This window comes from Homo sapiens, chromosome 16 (assembly GCF_000001405.40).
Source record: "Homo sapiens chromosome 16, GRCh38.p14 Primary Assembly".
In the NCBI taxonomy this organism is placed as follows: domain Eukaryota; kingdom Metazoa; phylum Chordata; class Mammalia; order Primates; family Hominidae; genus Homo; species Homo sapiens.
Genome location: NC_000016.10, coordinates 28,967,425 through 28,984,801, shown reverse-complemented (window position 1 = coordinate 28,984,801; position 17,377 = coordinate 28,967,425). Strand labels below are relative to the sequence as shown.

Here is a 17,377-nt window from a genome sequence, read left to right as displayed (position 1 = left end):
AAGGGCAGTGCCCACCCCCACCTCAGCCAGGCCTGTGAGGCAAGGGACAGGCTCCAGGGAAGCAGGGGCGTGACTCACGGTCACACTCAGCCAGCTCACTCGGAGAAGAGCAGTCCCCCATCTCAGTCGCCCAGCCCAGAAGGGCAGAGACTCACCCAGAGCCCTGAGGAATGACCCACAGTCTTCAGGAGCCCTGGGGTGAAGACGGGGTGCAAGATCAGAGGCCACCCAGAGAAAGACGAGAGCAGGCACCTGGGGTCTGGCTACAAATTTTATTCCGTTACAAATAGCACCGAGCCCTTGGGGCTGCCCCTGTGGAGAGGGATCCCCCTCCTGGACCCCCACCTCCTCCCCTGAGCTACCCAGGTAGTGTCTGGGAGCTGGCACACGGCCCAGGGTCCCTCTGGAAGCTGGGCCAGGCCAAGGGGTTAGGCCCAGGCCCTTCGTGGGGTGGGCCCAGGGCCAGCTGTGGCAGATGTGCAGGTAGGTGAGCGGCAGCCTCTCAGATGAGCACACTGGCCACGGGCACGCGGGTGGAGCGGCCCCGCTGGGGCACCACAATCCGGTCGTCTGTGGACCCTGCTTCGTGCAGCAGGCCTGAGGGGGGAGGGTCAGAGCCAGGGTGAGCTGGATGGACAGACAGACAAAGCCAGAGAAGGGCAAACAGGCAGCGGGAAATGGATGGGGCAGCCACAGAGCCACCCCAGGGGTGGATGCAGACAGACTGGAGGCCAAACAAGGGGAGGGCTGTGGACTGAGCTGCCAGGTGCACAGGAGTGGGCAGACAGATGGACAGACAGACAGGCAGATCAAGAAGCTGGGCCGGGCACAGCTCCTAACTGACCCTGCACGTGCAGCTGTGCCCGCCGGCGGTCGGCCTCAATGAAGATGGCGGTGCCCAGGAAGGCTGCGCCGCCCAGTGCCCCAACAAACGCGCAGAGCATGAGCGAGAACTGCAGAGCCCGGAACTCGGACAAGAAGGAGGGGGGCCAGTTCCGGCGCAGGCGGTCAGAGATCTGCAGGGAGAGGAGACAGGAAAGCCAGGGGAGTCAGCCTCATGGATGAACCAGGGAGGGCACGCCCCTGAGCTCCAGGGAGAAAGACAAGTGGAGCCCAGGAAAGGGAAGGAGGTTTGAGCTAGATGCAGTGGCTCATGCCTATCATCCCAGCTACTCAGGAGGCTGAGGTGGGAGGATCGCTTGAGCCCAGGAGGTCGAGGCTGCAGTGAGCCATGATCGTGCCACTACACTGCAGCCTGGGCAACAGAGTGAGGTCTTGTCTCAGGAAGAAAAGAAAAGAGAAAAGAAAGGAGGAGTTTGGACCACCAGGGTGAGGTCCCTGGCCTTACTGGTAGAAATATTCAAAGACAAAATCTTTCTCCTCCAGTTGACAATGGAAGGTGAGAAGTGCCCAGCACGCAGGACACAGACACTTCACTAGGGCCAGGCCTTCTGATCCAGCCCAGGCTCAGGACACCAGCCACCCCATGCCAGCCAAGAAATAATGCTCACCAGGCCAATGAGGTAGGGGCTCCCAGCATCACCCAGCAGGTGGGACAGCACGATCTGGAAGGCCTCGGCGGTGGAGCGTCGGGTAGGGATCACCACGTACTGTGGAGGAGTTGGTGGAGCTCAGTGGATGCTCTGGGCTCCAGGGGGCAGGAGGCAGGGGGCCAGGAGACCACCAAGGATCCGCCTAGGCCGGGGTCAGAGGTGTGCCTGGGGTTGAGGTCGCAGGGCAGGCCGGGGGTCTGCTACAGATGTTATTTATTGCAGAAGGTAGGTTGAGGCTGGGCTTTGAGGGGTAGAGGCAACACTCCTGACCCCAACTCTGCTCTCATCAGCCTCTGCGCTGACCCTGGAGCTGCCCAGCAACTCACCAGCAGAATGTCGGCCACGATGGCCCAGTTCATGGACAGGAGGGTCTCTCCAATGAAGATGAAAATCTGGGGGAAGAGAGGGTCGGGGGTTCATGACAGTAAGGGCTAACACATGGAAAGTTGACCATGTTCCCAGCTCATCTATTAACTAATTTAATCCTCATCACACCCCAGTGAGACAGGTGCTACTAATATCCCCATTTTACACATGATGAAACTGAGCACAGAGAGGTTAAGTCACTTGTCCAATGTCACACAGCTGGGAAGAGCCAGAGCTGTGATTCAAAACCAGGCATTCCACCTCGAGTGGCCATTACGCTGACTGCTCCTCCACCCTGGACCCACGCCATCCCCCTTGACACCTGCTGGCTACTCACATAAGTGGCCACGATGCTACCACGGGCGCAGGCAAGGGACAGGAAGAGGAAGGGTGCAGAGCCCAGGAGGCCAGTGGCACAGACCAGGGGATCAGCCCGGGGGTTGGAGTGGCGGAGCCGGCGGCTGATCTCCACACCCAGGCCCACACCCAGGACTCCGGTCAGGCAGGTGATGAGTCCAAAGATGAGACTAGGGGTGAGGGAAGGGAATGGGGGGTTTGTCCCTGTGCCTGCCAAGGCCCCTACGCTGTCCATCCTAGCCACCCTCACAACCAAGGTCCCTACAGACACAGCACCCCATGGTTGGCACAGCCCTGAGTGGCAGACATCATCCCATCACTTATTTCCCAGACCAGGAAACGGAGATTCCAGGAGAGCAGGCAGCTTGTGAAGTCAGGAGTCAAACTCCCTGCCTGGGTCTGAGCCACAGATGCTCTTCACTCCAGCCCTGCCACCCGCAGGCCCCCCAGCATAGCCCCATCTGGGCACCTGTCAGAGGAAGAGCAGGAGTCTCCGGGAAGGCAGGGTGGGGTCTCCCCAAGGACCACGCGGGAACGCAGCAGGAATGCCGGAGCCCACAGAGCCAGGGAGCCCGTGACAAAGGCCACAGCAGTGAAGCCCAGGGAAGACAGGACGAAACTAGGACTGCAGATAGTTGGGAGGGAGAGAGTAAGACCCCACGGAGGTGTCGAGGCAGGAGGGGACCTCTCTTCTCCCTTCCTGGCTTATTTTAGTAAGGTCACAACACCGTGCAGAGGTGGTTCTGGCTCCCAGGATCTGGGCCTGTAATTCAAGCAGCTGCCACAAGGGGACAGTATCGACCGAATTACTGGCCTTGGGGTGTGGCCAGGAACAGGAACATCCCCACTTAAACCTCAAACCAGACGCCAGGGGGCCTCAGATGGTGGTCTAGGGTGGGAATAAACTCACTTTCTTGCCAGAGCCCTCAGATCTGCCCACCACGAGGTGGGGTTCAGGGGTGGCAAATCTGAGTGGCGCTCCACGGCTCCCCTTGGCGGCTCCCGCACTACCAGGAACAGCAGCAGAACGGCCACCACTCCTAGACCCGGTGTCACCTGGGAGACAGAGGGCTTCAGGATAGGCACAGGGAGAGACACACTCAAGCCCTGGGCTGGAGGAGAGTGTGGGGTACAGATAACTCCAGCCTGAGACCTAAAATACCCAGTTAAGTGCCTGCTCCAAGAAGCCGAACCTGCAATCTGGGGGAAGGGGGCTGCCACTAGGGGCCACCCTATTTTTGCAAGCCTAGCTTTGTCTCCTCTTTGGTAATTTTCTTTTGGGAAACCAGTACCCCTACTTCTCTCAATCCACTTGGTTTAAATAGGATCCCAGGCTTGGCCAACAAGAGGACTGTTAACCACCCCAGCCTCGGTGACGGATTCCGCAGAGGGCACGTGATGCATGTTCATCTAGTCAGACGCTATCCTGGAAACACGGCCCCAGGGTCCAAGGTGCCAATGTTGCTAAATGGAAAGGTAATCATCTGGAGTTCTCACGTCCTTAAGAATGATGTTAACACAAAGGAAAGTAAAGCTCAGAAGAGAAGGGCAGTGTGGGAGCCCTGGATCCAGCTTTACCTGACTGAAGCTCACCTGGGACTTTCAGGAAGAAAGCCAAGACAGCCCCTTTAGGGGGCTTACGGTTTGTTTGTTTGTTTGTTTGTTTGTTTTCGAGACAGAGTCTCACTCTGTCACCCAGGCTGGAGTGCAGTGGTGCGATCTCGGCTCACTGCAACCTCCGCCTACTGGGTTCACGCCATTCTCCTGCCTCGGCCTCCTGAGTAGCTGGGACTACAGGCACCTGCCACCACGCCCAGCTAATTTTTTTTTGTATTTTTAGTAGAGACGGGATTTCACTGTGTTAGCCAGGGTGGTCTCAATCTCCTGACCTTGTGATCCACCCACCTTGGCCTCCCAAAGTGCTGGAATTACAGGTGTGAGCCACCGCACCCGGCCTCTAGGGGGCTTACAGTTTTACAATGGGCTTCTGTCACCTGCACGCAAGAATTCTGTCTAGCACATGGCTTCCAGGTGAGGGCAGCCAGTCTCCTGCAGGCTCAGCAGAATGAGAGCTGCCCCAAAAAAGGGGTATTTGGAGCCAGGCGCATGGCTCACACCCGTAAGCCCAGCACTTTAGGAGGCCAAGGCAAGAGGATTGCTTGAGGCCAGGAGTTCAAAACCAACCTGGGCAACATACAAAGACCCCATCTCTACAAAAAAAAAAAATTTTGTGTGTGCAATGGCACGATCTCTGCTCACTGCAACCTCTGCCTCCCGGGTTCAAGCGATTCTCCTGCCTCAGCCTCCCGAGTAGCTGAGATTACAGGCATGCGTCACCATGCCTGGCTAATTATGTATTTTTAGTAGAGACAGGGTTTCACCATGTTGGTCAAGCTGGCCTAGAACTCCTGACCTCAGGTGATCCGCCCACCTCAGCCTCCCAAAGTGCTGGGATTATAGGCGTGAGCCATCATGCCTGGCAAAATTTTTTTTTTTTTTTTTTGAGAAGGAGTCTCGCACTGTCGCCCAGGCTAGAGTGCAGTGGCACAATCTCAGCTTGCTGCAACCTCCGCCTCCTGGGTTCAAGTGATTCTCCTACCTCAGCCCCCCGAGTAGCTGGGATTACAGGCATGCACCACCACGCCCAGCTAATTTTTGTATTTTTAGTAGAGACAGGGTTTCACCATGTTGGCCAGGCTGGTCTTGAATTCCTGACCTCAAGTGATCCACCTGCCTCAGCCTCCCAAAATGCTGGGATACAGGTGTTAGCCACCACACCCAGCCTACAAAAAGAAAAAGTTTTTTTAATTAGCCAGGCATGGTGGCGGGCACCTATAGTCCCAGCTACTTGGGAGGCTGAGGTGGGAGGATCACTTGAGCTCAGGCGTTCCAGGCTACAGTGAGCTATGACTGCACCACTGCACTGCAGCCTGGGTGACACAACAAGACCCTGTCTCTTAAAAGAAAAATGGGCGGTGGGAAGGGGTCCAAAGGTAGGAAACAGGGATCAGTGAGAACGTCGCTGACCTACCCCCAGGCCAAGACCAGACTCACCCTCAGAGCCCAGTGCCAGTCTCCAGCCATATCCTTCACTTTGGAGCCTGCAATGTAGCCCAGACCACTGTGGGAGGGAGAGAGGGGAAAAAGGGGGGACAGCCAGTCAGTCCAGTCCCCCACACCAGGCCCTTCTGCCTTCCCCCAGGCCCCAGGCCCACTCACCTGCCCACCGGAATGGCAAAGTAGAAGATGCTGAGCATCCGGCTCCGCTGGTCGGCCACAAAGAGGTCGGCAATGAGAGTGGGCGCGATGGTGGAATAACTGGCCTCCCCGACCCCCACCAGGCCCCGGGTCAGGAGGAGCAGCCAGAAATGCTGGGGAGAGAGACCGGGGAGAGGTGGCACCCCAGCCTGCAACCAGCCTCCGGGCTACCTCACCAGCCCGCTCCCAAGAGGCAGCAGGGATGGCGGGAGATGCCTGGGTTTTAGAATCACACAGACCTGAGCTTGCATCCTGGCTCCACCACTTACTAGCTGCGATTTGGGGAAAATAACTTAACCTCTCTGAGCCTCAGTTTCCTCATCTGCAAAAGGAGGATAACAACAACTTTTCACAGAGCTATTGCAAGGACTAGACAATAAAAGGTCTAAATAAGACAACCCCTGCTTGCCTGGTAGGGGAAAGTTTTTTAATTTTTTTTTTTTAATGAATAAGTGACCTTAGATGGGAGTTTATGTGTCTACCAAAGGCACCTGAAGCTAAGGACGGGTACAGTCACCCAAGGAAAGTACGTAGGTCCTGGGGCTGAGGACAGAGTTCTGGGGTGGAGTGAGAACAGACAGAGGAGGCTTCAAAGGAACAAAGAAGCAACAGCCAGGGAGGCAGGAGGAAAGCCAGAAGAGTGTGGCATCGCAAAGGTAGGAGAGAGTTTCAGGAAGGAAGAGTGGGTCAACAGTGCCAGAGGCTCCTAGCATGAACAGGACCAGGAAGTTGGAGCTGTGTTTAGCAACTAGGAGGCCACTGTTAACTTTGGCAAGAGCAGGGTCCGTGGAGTGGTGGGAGCAGAAGTCAGTGGCAGCGCTCGAGGGGTGAGCAGGCGTGAGGAAGTGCAGGCAGAGTGATGGCATCTCCCCGGCTGCTCTTTTACCCACACTGGCACCACGCTCTAGGGGCCCTTCAGGAAGTCTGATCAGGAATGAGAGGAGGGAGAGAGGGCAGGCCAGGTAGGGTTTGGAGTGTTTAGGTATGGAGTAGAAGGAGTCAGTGGTCAGGGGAAGAGGGGATAATGGACAGAGAATGCTCTGGAAGAAAAGGGGAGGATGGGGTGGGGCAGGTTAACTCAGGCAAGGAGGGGTATAAAATGGCATGGACCAGGGAAACTGCAGGAGTCCCTGAGGCCCAGTCTGCCATAGCTCCAAGGAGCAGCAGCAGAGACTGACAGGGAGGGGGTGTGGGCAGAAACAGGAGCCAGCTTGGGGCCTCACCTCTCCGGGGATGAAGGATGACCCCAGTGTCACCAGGGACCAGAAGGCAATGCCCCCGCACATGAGATACTTCCGATTGTACCTGTCACCCAGGTAGCCAAACACAGGTGCCAACACCATGTAACTGGAGATGAACACTAGGGGGAAGCAGAGAGTCACAGCTCAGCCCAGGTACCCCTACCTCCCACTCCCACCCCAGCTGGAACCACTAAAGCACAGGAGATGCCTGCCTTCTCCTTACAGAATTCACAACACCCCCACATCCCAGCCTGAAGCCCATCAGAGCTTCCTGTCAGGCGGATGGTCCAGCTCCATCTTGAACACCTTTCCAGATTTCCCATTGTATAATGGATGGTCCCACTACTTGTCAATTCCTTCCACCTAGCCAAAACAAGCTCCAAACTCCATGCATACCATGGCTCACAATGCCCCTGTCCAATCTAGGCCCTGCCTACCTCTCCACACTCATGGCCAGCCTTTTTCCCTTCCTCTGTCTGCATCCCAATGGCCCAATTGTCAAGGCCAATACCACTAGGGGTTTAGGCACCTACTGCCTCCTCTATCAAGGACATTCTCTCCTCTCCCCCTGAAACTTCACAGAGCATAGTTCCTTCAGGTTCCAGCTCAGATACTTGCCCAGGGCCAAGGGTGAAGCATGCTGCCCAGGTGAGCACACATCCAGTACCTGACTCTCACATTTACTTTTTTCTCTTTTTTTTTTTTTTTTTTTTTAAACGAAGTCTCGCTCTGTTGTCAGGTTGGAGTGCTGTGGCGCGATCTCAGCTCACTGCAACCTCCGCCTCCCAGGTTCAAGCAATTCTGCCTCAGCCTCCCAAGCAGCTGGGACTACAGGGGCGTGCCACCACGCCCAGCTAATTTTTGTATTTTTAGTAGAGATGGGGTTTCACCATGTTAGCCAGGATGGTCTCAATCTCCTGATCTCGTGATCCACCCGCCTCGGCCTCCCAAAGTGCTGGGATTACAGGTGTGAGCCACAGCGCCTGGACTGTTTTCTGTTACATAACACTTATCCCTATGGGAAAACTGTCCCACTTTAGTTTAGCGTTTTACTGGCTGTTGCTGCCTCATGCATAGCGTACTATCAGCTCCCAAGGCAAGGTCCTTGCCTGTATTGGCCATGACTGTGTTTCTTTCACTTACTTAACACACAGCCTAGTGCAAAACAGGTGCTCAATAAGCATGTGAAGAGAGTGAATAAATCCGGCTGCCTAGAAAGAGCTGCTGCTCTAACTCAACAACTCTTCAGAGGTTTGAAGACCTTGCCCTATGATCCCATTCTCATTGCTCCAGACTTCACCTCAAATACCTCCAGTTCCTCATTGGCCTGGAGTAGAGAAAAGAACACTGCAAGACCTGGTTTCAAATTCCTGTTCCGCCTCCAACTGGTGGTGTGACCCTGGGCAAGTCTTAACTCTTCTCCAAGCCTCAGTTTCTTTATAAGCTGTAGATATCACTACCTACTTCCTCTATAAAATAGGAACAGTAACACCTATTTTTGACTGATAGAAGGATTAGAAGACAAGGGGCATAAAAGTTCTTCGCAAAGTCCTACAGGTGTAATCATCACTTCCTCCAGGCCTGGCACACAATGAGTACTCAGAAATGGTTGAGAAATGAATGAAGGATGGAAGGAAGAAAAAGGGCTTGGCTCTAGCTTTGCCTCTCCCACAAGTCCCAAAGTTGTGAACAAGTAAAACACACCTCTCCCCATTCCAGACACCCTCTCCTGCCTTTACTTATTTATTTATTTATGAGATGGAGTCTCGCTCTGTCACCCAGGCTGGAGTGCAGTGGTGCGATCTCGGCTCACTGCAACCTCTGCCTCCCGGGTTCAAGTAACTCTCATGCCTCAGCCTCCCAAGTACCTGGGATTACAGGCGCTCGCTACCATGCCTGGCTAATTTTTGTATTTTTAGTACAGATGGGGTTTCGTCATGTTGACCAGGCTGGTCTTGAACTCCTAACTTCAAGTGATCCACTCATCTTGGCCTCCCAAAGTGCTGGGACTACAGGCGTGAGTCACCACACCCAACCCTCCTGCCATTATTTACTGGGTGTCTACCATGTGCCAAACACTGCACTAGGCCCTTCACAGACAATCTTTTAGTTAATCTTCACATCAGTCCTAAGAGATGATTCGTGTTATTACTTGTTCCATCTTATAGACAAGGAAAATGAGGCTTAGAGAGGTTGAGTGCCTTGCCTACCATCACACAATAAGTGGAAGAGCTGAGATTTAAACCCAGGTCTGTCTTCACCTGGGTGAAGTTATACTTAGTTATACTAAACTGACTCCCTCTTTAAATGTGGTGTCCCGCTGACCCCCGAGCAACATCAGGGCCATCACCTCCCCTAACTGGCCACAAAACCTCCATTAATGAGCCCCTAGACAGGCCAGCGCGTGGCCCCACTTGAGACAGAACAGAAGGAGGAGCGGCTGTGTGACCAGGAGTGGTCCCCACTCACCGGTCTGGATGAGCCCAGAGCTACTGTCCCCGATGTTGAAGAACTGCTCGATGTCGGGAAGGACGCCTGAGGAGAAAATTCAGGATGGTCCGGCAAAGCAGCGCCACCCTCGGGACCCTGGCTCCCCTCTCCTAGACTATCTTCCTCCCAGAAGTGAGTCCCTACCAGCCACGGTGAAGCGGTCCATGTAGTTCAGGAGATTGATGTAGCACAGCACCGCCACTATGAGAGCCGAACGGCCGGGAGACAGGCCGGTGATGCGCTGCAGCCCCTCCTGGTCCGGGACCTCGGGCTCCTCGGACTTCGGGTTCCCCGTGGACCCTGGCAACCCCGGGGTGCCAGGCACTGGCCCGTCGTCCGGGTCATCCGCCTGGCTGAGGAAGGGCGCGGTGTCGGACCCGGCCATGGTCCCGGGGGGCCGCGCCCGCCCGCGCTCCGGTCCCACCGACGATCCCACCTGCGAGGGGAGGAGGCTGGAGAAAGGAGGATGGACCGAACACAGGCGAGGGAAGTGCGCCCGGAGACGGGGAGCTTGCCCTGAAGCACAGAGCACCACTGAGAAGGGACCCGGGCCCTGTCACGCCTCCCCGTCTCAGTAGACACACAGCGCGGAGGGGACGTGCGGAATACACGTGATGTCGGGGACAGGAGCGGGCTGAAGAGGGCACGATCCCACGCGGAGGCCACCCCTCACCCGGGGTAGGAGCCCGCTGCACTTGCTGTCGCTCAGCCCGGGCGCTGCACCACGGCAGCCGCCATGTTGCTTAAAGCCGGTCATGTGACGCGGGAGCCAGGGTGGAAGGGGTCCCCGCGGGCAAGCCTTCGACACGTGACCTGCCACCCGACTACGGAAGCCTCTTGGGCGTTCCGCCCGGGCTCACATGTCATGTGACGGCCGGCCGGTCGCCGGAGTAACCAGGAACTTTCCCAGACCCTGCGGTCCCTGGAGCGTCAAAAAGAGCGTCCCCGTGACTAGGTGGAGTCGCCTGCCCTTCCGAATCTCAGCTGTCTTATCTGGAACCCCCACGTGGCAGACTCCATCTTCATCAAACGGGATAATGGGGTCTCAAAAGGTTTTGGAAGTAGTAGATACCTCTAAAAGCCAAGGAGCAGCCCTAGTTCTCGGGAACCATCCTGTCTTCCTCCCAGGGTCTGGTTGGCGGCTTTTTACTCTCAATAAAGGATGGATGGATGGATGGATAAATGGATGGATGGAGCTTGAGCAGCGCGATGGATGGAGGATTGGAGGGACGGAGGGATGGACGGACGGACGGATGGAGCTTGAGCAACGCCCCGCCCTTTGTTGAGATTCCCCAACCCTGCTAGCCTTGTAAACTCCTGAGCCTTCACCGTGGACACTTAAATACCTATTAAAGGAAGCGTCTCCACCCGCCGCTCCTGGAGCATATTTTTCCTCACTCCAATCGGGATTGGAGCCCTTGCGCCCTCCGGTGGGCTTTTGTAGGGCAGGCAGGAGCTCCTAGCCTAAGGAGACTCCCAGCTGCAGGACTAGGGTCAAAGGGATAACTTGGGAGTGGTTCTTTAGTGGCACCCTATAATCTCCAAGCTACATCTAATAAAGCACTCTAAGTAAAATTAGTATAGTTCTGTGCAAATACAGCTTCAAGACCCATCTTTCAACCAGCCCTTAAAGGCCCTCTACTGAAATCCTGGAATCTCGTGGGGAGAGCATCCCCCAACCCCAAAACGCCTTGTTAGAAACTATTTCGAGTCCGAATACCCATAATTGGCTTTAACCCCCCCCCCCCCCCCATATTAGGTGCCTCGTGTTTCAGAACCTTAAGCTTGGTTTCCCCTGGCGGACAGGAACTTCAGGTTGCAGGCATTTAATTCCCTCAACAAGATATTATTGAACATGTATGTGCCTGGCATTTTACCAGGTTTCAGGGAAAGGCAGACTTACTCCCTTCCCTCGTGGAGCTTATCTAGAGAGTGATACGCATTGTAAATTGCACCTCTGAAGTGAAAAGGCAAGCCACAGGTTGAATGAAAATATTTACAAAGCATCTATCTGCCAAAGGACTTGTATCCATGTAAAGAACTCTTTTTTTTTTTCTTTCTTTCTTTTTTTGGAGACAGACGCTTGCTCTGTCACCCAGGCTGGAGCTGGAGTGTAGTGGCGGGATCTCGGCTCACTGCAACCTCCACTTCCGGGGTCCAAGCGATTCTTGTGCCTCAGCCTCCCAAGTAGCTGGGATAACAGGCACGTGCCACCACACCCGGCTAATTTTTTGTATTTTTGGTAGAGATGGGCTTTCAGCAGGTTGGCCAGGCTGGTCTTGAACTCCTGACCTCAAGTGATCTGCCCGCCTCAGCCTCCCACCGTGCTGGGATTACAGGGGTGAGCCACCATGCCCAGTGTCATTTTAATTTTTATATTTGTAGAGATGAGTTATCGCTATGTTGTCCAGGCTAGTCTGGAACTCCTGAACTCAAGCAATCCTCCCACCTCATCCTCCCAAAATGCTAGGACTACAGGTGTGAGCCACTGCACCCAGCTCTTTTGTCCATTTTAAAAATTGTGTTTTTGGCCAGGCACAGTGGCTCATGCCTGTAATCCTAGCCCTTTGGGAAGCTGAGGTGGGAGGATCACTTCAGCCCAGGAGTTCAAGATCAGCCTGGGCAACAAAGCAAGACTCATCTCTACAAAAAAACTAAATAAATAAAAATTAAATATACACTTCCCATATGACCCAGCAATTCCACTCCTAGGTAACCACCAATGAGAAATGAAAACGTGTCCAAACAAAAACCTGTATATGAATGTTCATAAATGCATTATTCATAATAGCCCAAAAATGAAAAGAATCCACATGTCCATCAACAGGGGCATAATCTATTCATACAACGGGAATAGCTTAACAAGAAAAAGGAATGAACTGTCAGAGACGTTCGGACCAGAGTGACTCCATCTTGAGTGACGGTTAGGAAAATAAGGCTGGGACTTGCTGGACTGAATTACAGAAAGTAAGGCATTCCTAGACTCGACATGTTTATGGTTAAGGAAACAATAACGTTTACTAGGCCGGGCGCAGTGGCTCACGCCTGTAATCCCAACACTTTGGGAGGGCGAGGCGGGTGGATCACAAGGTCAGGAGTTCAAGACCAGCCTGGCCAAGATGGTGAAAACCCATCTCTACTAAAAACACACACAAAAAATTAGCCAGACGTGGTGGTGGGCGTCTGCAATCCCAGCTACTCGGGAGGTTGAGGCAGAGAACTGCTTGAACCCAGGGGGCAGAGGCTGCAGTGAGCCGAGATTGTGCCACTGCACTCCAGCCTGGGCAACCGTGTGAGACACCGTCTCAAAAAAAAAAAAAAAAAATTAGCCGGGCATGGTAGCACACACCTGTAATCCCAACTACTCAGGAGGCTGAGGCAGAAGAATCACTTGAACCTGGGAGGCAGAGGCTGCAGTGAGTTGAGAGAGCACCACTGCACTCCCACCCGGGCAACAAGAGCAAAACTCCATCTCAAATAATAATAATATAATGTTTACTAAACAGACCCAGACTTGGGAGTGTCCAGATATCCCAATATATGGAGAACAAAGCATTCCTAATTTTGCTTTAAAGATAACAATATTGATTCTTGCTAAATATAGTAATTAAGAAAATTAGCCGGGCGCAGTGGCTTATGCCTGTAATCCCAGCACTTTGGGAGGTCAAGGCAGGCGGATCACGAGGTCAGGAGTTCAAGGCCAGCCTGGCCAACATGGTGAAACCCCATCTCTACTAAAAATACAAAAATTAGCTGGGCATAGTGGCGTGTTCCTGTAATCCCAGCTACTCAGGAGGCTGAGGCAGGAGAATTGCTTAAATTGGGACCCAGGAGGCGGAGGTTGCAGTGAGCCAAGATCGTGCCACAGCACTCCAGCCTGGGCGACAGAGCGAGACTCCATCTCAAAAAAAAAAAAAAAAAAAATCCTTTATCACAAACCCTTGTAGCAGAGCACATCTCCCCATATATATGAGTCTTGTACATAAGGTGGATGCCTTCCCCTTCTTACTTTCAGGAATGTCCTACTCTGTCTATGGAGTAGCTGTACTTTCACCAGTTTACTTTTTTTTTTTTTTTTTTTTGAGACGGAGTCTCACTCTGTAGCCCAGGCTGGAGTGCAATGGCATGATCTCAGCTCACTGTAACCTCTGCCTCCCAGGTTCAAGTGAGTCTCCTGCCTCAGCCTCCCAAGTAGCTGACATTATAGGCCCCAACCATCTCGCCCAGCTAATTTTTGTATTTTTAGTAAAGATAGGGTTTCGCCATGTTGGCCAGGCTGGTCTTGAACTCCTGACCTCAGGTGATCCGCCCACCTCAGCCTCCCAAAGTGCTAGGATTACAGGTGTGAGCCACTGTGCCCGGCCCAGTTTACTTTCTTAATAAACTTGCTTTTACTTCACACTGTGGACTCACCCTGAATTCTTTCTTGCACGAGATCCAAGAACCTTCACTTGGGGTCTGGATCGGGACCCCTGTCCTGTAACAGAACTACTGATACAAACGCAGAAACATTGTGTTAAGTAAAAGAAGCCAGACACAAAACACTGCATACTGTTATTCCATTTATATGAACATCCAGAGAAGGCAAAAGTAAGGTGACAGAAAGCAGATTAGTGGTTGCCTGGGGTCATGGGCAAGAGAAGGAAACTTTTGCACAACCGTGTACATCTACCAAAACTCACTGAAGGCCAGGCATGGTGGCTCATGCCTGTAATTCCAGCACTTAGGGAGGCTGAAATGGGAAGATGTTTGAGGCCAGGAGTTTGAGGCTGCAGTGAACTATGATTGCGCCACTGCACTCCAGCCTGGGTGACAGAGCAAGACCCTGTCTCTACATAAATAATTTTTTGAAAAAATTCACTGAACTGTATGCTTAAAATGAGTCAATGTTTAGGCATATTAATTAAACTACAATAGGCCGGGAGTGGTGGTTCACGCCTGTAATCCCAGCACTTTGGCAGGAGGATCACTTGAGTTCAGGAGTTTGAGACCAGCCTGGCCAACATGGGGAAACCCTGTCTCTATTAAAAATACAAAGATTAGCCAGGCGTGGTGGTGAACACCTGTAATCCTAACTACTTGGGAGGCTGAGGCAGGAGAATCGCTTGAACCTCACTGCAGAGGTTGCAGTGAGCCAAGATCGCGCCACTGCACTCCAGCCTGGACAACAGACTGAGACTCCGTCTCAAAAAAAAAAAACAAAGAAAAAACCAAAGAAAATATCATTCTGGCTGCAGCATGGAAGATGGATTTGAGAGGCCAGAGGGGAAACAGCCACCCGTGAAGCGGCTGTGGCACTAGCCTAGGCTGCAGGCAGTGGTGGCTTGGCCTAGGACAGCATGGAGACGGGCAGAGGGAGCTGATTTGGGAGGGAGCTGGGGCTATTAAGTTGAACGGGTGATGCAGTGGGTGTGGGGGATGAAAAGGGATCAAGAGTGAAGCTTTTCTGGCTCACGCAGAGATGGATGATGCTGGGATTCTTTGAGACAGGAGTTTAATCATTCAACAAACATTTGTTAGGATACTACTGTGTCAAGGTGTCAGACACCAAGCAAGAGACTTTTTTGAGATGGGGTCTTGCTCTGTTGCCCAGGCTGGTGTGCAGTGGCACAATCACAGCTCACTACAGTCTCGAACTCCTGGGCTCAAGCAATCCTCCCACCTCAGCCTCCTTCCTGAGTAGCTGGGACTACAGGCATGCACCACACACTTGGCTAATTTTTTTTATGTTTGTAGAGATGGGGTCTCACTAGATTGCCCAGGCTGGTCTGGAACTCCTGGCCTCAAGTGATCCTCCCACCTCAGCCCCCTGAAGTGCTGGGATTACAGGCATGAGCCACTGCGGCCCAGCCAAGAGATTTTTAAGAAGAGTTTATTTTCAAGGAACTTACAGTCCCATAGGGAAGCAAAACCTGGATGCGTGGATGGGTGTACCAAGCCAGACTCCAAGCAGAGGTGGGACACACAAAAGACAATGTGACCAGTCCTACGAGGAGCCTTATGGAAGAACTGACCCTGAGTTGGAGGGGGTGACAGGGGTAGGGAGGTGGGAGACAGTAAAGGCATAGAGAAAAAAAGGCAAAATGGTATGTTGCAACTTCAAGTATGATCAGCTACATTGCCATCACTTGGGACCTTGCTGGAAATGCAGCATCTCACGCCCCACCTGAGCTGCTGATCCAGCATCTGCACACTAACAAGGTCCCCAGACAACCTGTGTGCACACTGACGAGAGTCTCTGGTCTCCTTGAGAATTCTGAGCCATACATCAGACCCACCTGCATCTACACCGGGCTGTGCAATGGGAGGCCCTGTGGTCTAGAGCACGTTCATTCATCTTTCTAAGCTTCTGTCTTTTTTTTTTGAGACAGCGTCTCACTCTCTCGCCCAGGCTGGAGTGCAGTGGTGCGATCTCAGCTCACTGCAACCTCTGCCTCCCAGGTCCAAGCAATTATCCTGCCTCAGCCTCCCAAGTAGCTGGGACTACAGGCGTGCATCACCATACCTGGTTTTTTTTTCTTTCTTTTTGTAGAGATAGGGTCTCACCATGTTGGCCAGGGTGGTCTTGAACTTCTGACCTCAAATGATCCATCCGTTTAGGCCTCCCAAAGTGCTGGGATTACAGGCGTGAGCCACTGTGCCCAGCCCTAAGCTTCTGTTTTTCTTCTGTAAAATGGGAATAAGAACACCTACCTCACAGGATTGCTCTGAGGATGAATAAGGTTATGAAAAGAGCCAAGGTTGGTATGTGGCACTGAGTAAAGGAGCATTAAAGTTTCAAGGGTCTCTAATCAGGAGAGTTTGAGGAAGATTATCCAGAGCCAGCTGCAGTGGTTCACACCTGTAATCCCAGCACTTTGGGAGGCCAAGGCAGGAAAATTGCTTGAGGCCAGGAGTTCCAGACCAGCTTGGGAAACCTAGGGAGAGTCCATCTCTACACAAAAGTTTAACAATTAGCAGGTGTGTTGTCATTCACCTGTAGTCCCAGCTACTCAGGAGACTCGGGAGGATTGCTTGAGTCCACAAGATCGAGGCTGCAGTGAGCTATGATAGCACCACTACACTCCAGCCTGGGTGACAGAGAAGACCCTATCTCAAGAAAACAAAACAAGGCTGGGAACGATGGCTCACACCTATAATCCCAGCACTTTGGGAGGCAGAGGCAGGCAGACTGCTTGAGCTCAGCAGTTCAAGATCAGCCTGGGCAACATAGTGAGATCCTACCTCTACAAAAGATACAAAAAAATTAGGTGGGCATGCTGTCATGCACCTGTGATCCCAGCTAATCAGGAGGCTGAGGTGGGAGGATCACTTGAGCCCCGGAGGCAGAGGTTGCAGTGAGCCGAGATCACACCACTGCACTCCAGCCTGGGTGATAGAACAAGACCCTATAAAAAAAAAAAAAGAAGAAAAGAAAAAGAAAAAGAAAAAGAAAGATCACCCTAGATATTCTTTTAGACATGTGAAAGGATGAACAATCTCATCATAAAAGATAAAGAAATGCAGTCTTTCCCATACCCTTCCCAGATTAAGTCAGGGGAAGGTATGAGGAAACTGGAACCTTCCAGCACTTGCTAGGGGACATGTAAAAATGTACAGGCACTTTGGTTAGCAATCTAACAGTATTCAAGAATTAGTGACCAGTGATTCCACTATCAGATGGAAGCCCCCGAGAAAAATCCCACACAGGTACCCCAAAGGGAACACTACATTGCTTGCAATAGCAACATCCTGGAATTTGAACTGGGTTTGGTTATAAGTGGTAGAAACCCTAAAATAAGTGATTTAAAGAGGGGCAGCAGTCCCTCCTTCATGTGAAAGCCGAGGTCAGCACTGCCAGGCCAATGAGGTGCTACATGGATGCTGTGATCCAGGCGCCTTCCCTCACCATCCTGGCCCATGTGGTTTCTGTTCCAGAGGTCACCTTAAGTCAGTAGGGCTGCTCCACTTCCAGTAAGCAGGCAGGAGGCAAGTGAAAGAGAGGGGACAAGCTGCCCGCTATGCACACTTCTGGGAAGTGATACCCCATTCCACTTACACCCCAGGAGCCTGTATTGGCACTTGGCTACATCTAGCTACAGTGGAAGCCAGGAAGTACTGTCTTAATTTTTT

At 52.8% G+C, this 17,377-nt stretch overlaps 1 protein-coding gene across 9 annotated transcripts, besides 7 other annotated features; it reads right to left on the bottom strand.

Annotated features, from left to right (window-relative positions):
- Positions 37 to 10,024, bottom strand: SPNS1 (SPNS lysolipid transporter 1, lysophospholipid). 9 transcript variants are annotated; one of them, XM_047434739.1, is made up of 13 exons: positions 9,939 to 10,024; positions 9,410 to 9,701; positions 9,245 to 9,310; positions 6,758 to 6,894; positions 5,496 to 5,647; positions 5,331 to 5,397; positions 3,187 to 3,332; positions 2,746 to 2,901; positions 2,257 to 2,446; positions 1,880 to 1,945; positions 1,512 to 1,610; positions 363 to 597; positions 37 to 193 (listed from the first exon to the last, which is right to left on the bottom strand). In XM_047434739.1, the coding sequence occupies exons 1-13, from the start codon at positions 10,020 to 10,022 to the stop codon at positions 123 to 125; spliced, it is 1,761 nt and encodes a 586-aa protein (XP_047290695.1). In that variant the 5' UTR covers positions 10,023 to 10,024; the 3' UTR covers positions 37 to 122. The 9 variants fall into 9 exon arrangements, with proteins under 9 accessions (XP_047290695.1, XP_047290697.1, NP_001135922.1 ...); NM_001142450.2 differs by lacking the exon at positions 37 to 193 and adding an exon at positions 845 to 1,016 and having other exon boundaries at positions 259 to 597; positions 9,410 to 9,614; positions 9,702 to 10,024; NM_001142448.2 differs by lacking the exon at positions 37 to 193 and adding an exon at positions 845 to 1,016 and having other exon boundaries at positions 259 to 597.
- Positions 3,071 to 3,150: a silencer, noted in NCBI's record as "silent region_7322". NCBI's record gives its function as "represses an Ori minimal core promoter by ATAC-STARR-seq in GM12878 lymphoblastoid cells {active_cell/tissue: GM12878}" and the evidence as "EXISTENCE:reporter gene assay evidence [ECO:0000049][PMID:35858748]".
- Positions 9,668 to 9,757: a silencer, noted in NCBI's record as "silent region_7321". NCBI's record gives its function as "represses an Ori minimal core promoter by ATAC-STARR-seq in GM12878 lymphoblastoid cells {active_cell/tissue: GM12878}" and the evidence as "EXISTENCE:reporter gene assay evidence [ECO:0000049][PMID:35858748]".
- Positions 9,668 to 9,879: a biological region, named in NCBI's record as "ATAC-STARR-seq lymphoblastoid silent region 7321".
- Positions 9,710 to 9,879: an enhancer, noted in NCBI's record as "experimental_43305 CRE fragment used in MPRA reporter constructs". NCBI's record gives its function as "activates a minimal promoter by MPRAs in K562 erythroleukemia cells, with activity observed for both the introgressed and non-introgressed 16:28986329 or rs117119297 variant alleles {active_cell/tissue: K562}" and the evidence as "EXISTENCE:reporter gene assay evidence [ECO:0000049][PMID:34662402]".
- Position 9,794: a transcriptional cis regulatory region, noted in NCBI's record as "Neanderthal adaptively introgressed variant 16:28986329 (GRCh37/hg19 assembly coordinates) or rs117119297 in the experimental_43305 CRE". NCBI's record gives its function as "modulates activity of the experimental_43305 enhancer by MPRAs in K562 erythroleukemia cells {active_cell/tissue: K562}" and the evidence as "EXISTENCE:reporter gene assay evidence [ECO:0000049][PMID:34662402]".
- Positions 9,978 to 10,087: an enhancer, noted in NCBI's record as "active region_10654". NCBI's record gives its function as "activates an Ori minimal core promoter by ATAC-STARR-seq in GM12878 lymphoblastoid cells {active_cell/tissue: GM12878}" and the evidence as "EXISTENCE:reporter gene assay evidence [ECO:0000049][PMID:35858748]".
- Positions 10,168 to 10,287: an enhancer, noted in NCBI's record as "active region_10653". NCBI's record gives its function as "activates an Ori minimal core promoter by ATAC-STARR-seq in GM12878 lymphoblastoid cells {active_cell/tissue: GM12878}" and the evidence as "EXISTENCE:reporter gene assay evidence [ECO:0000049][PMID:35858748]".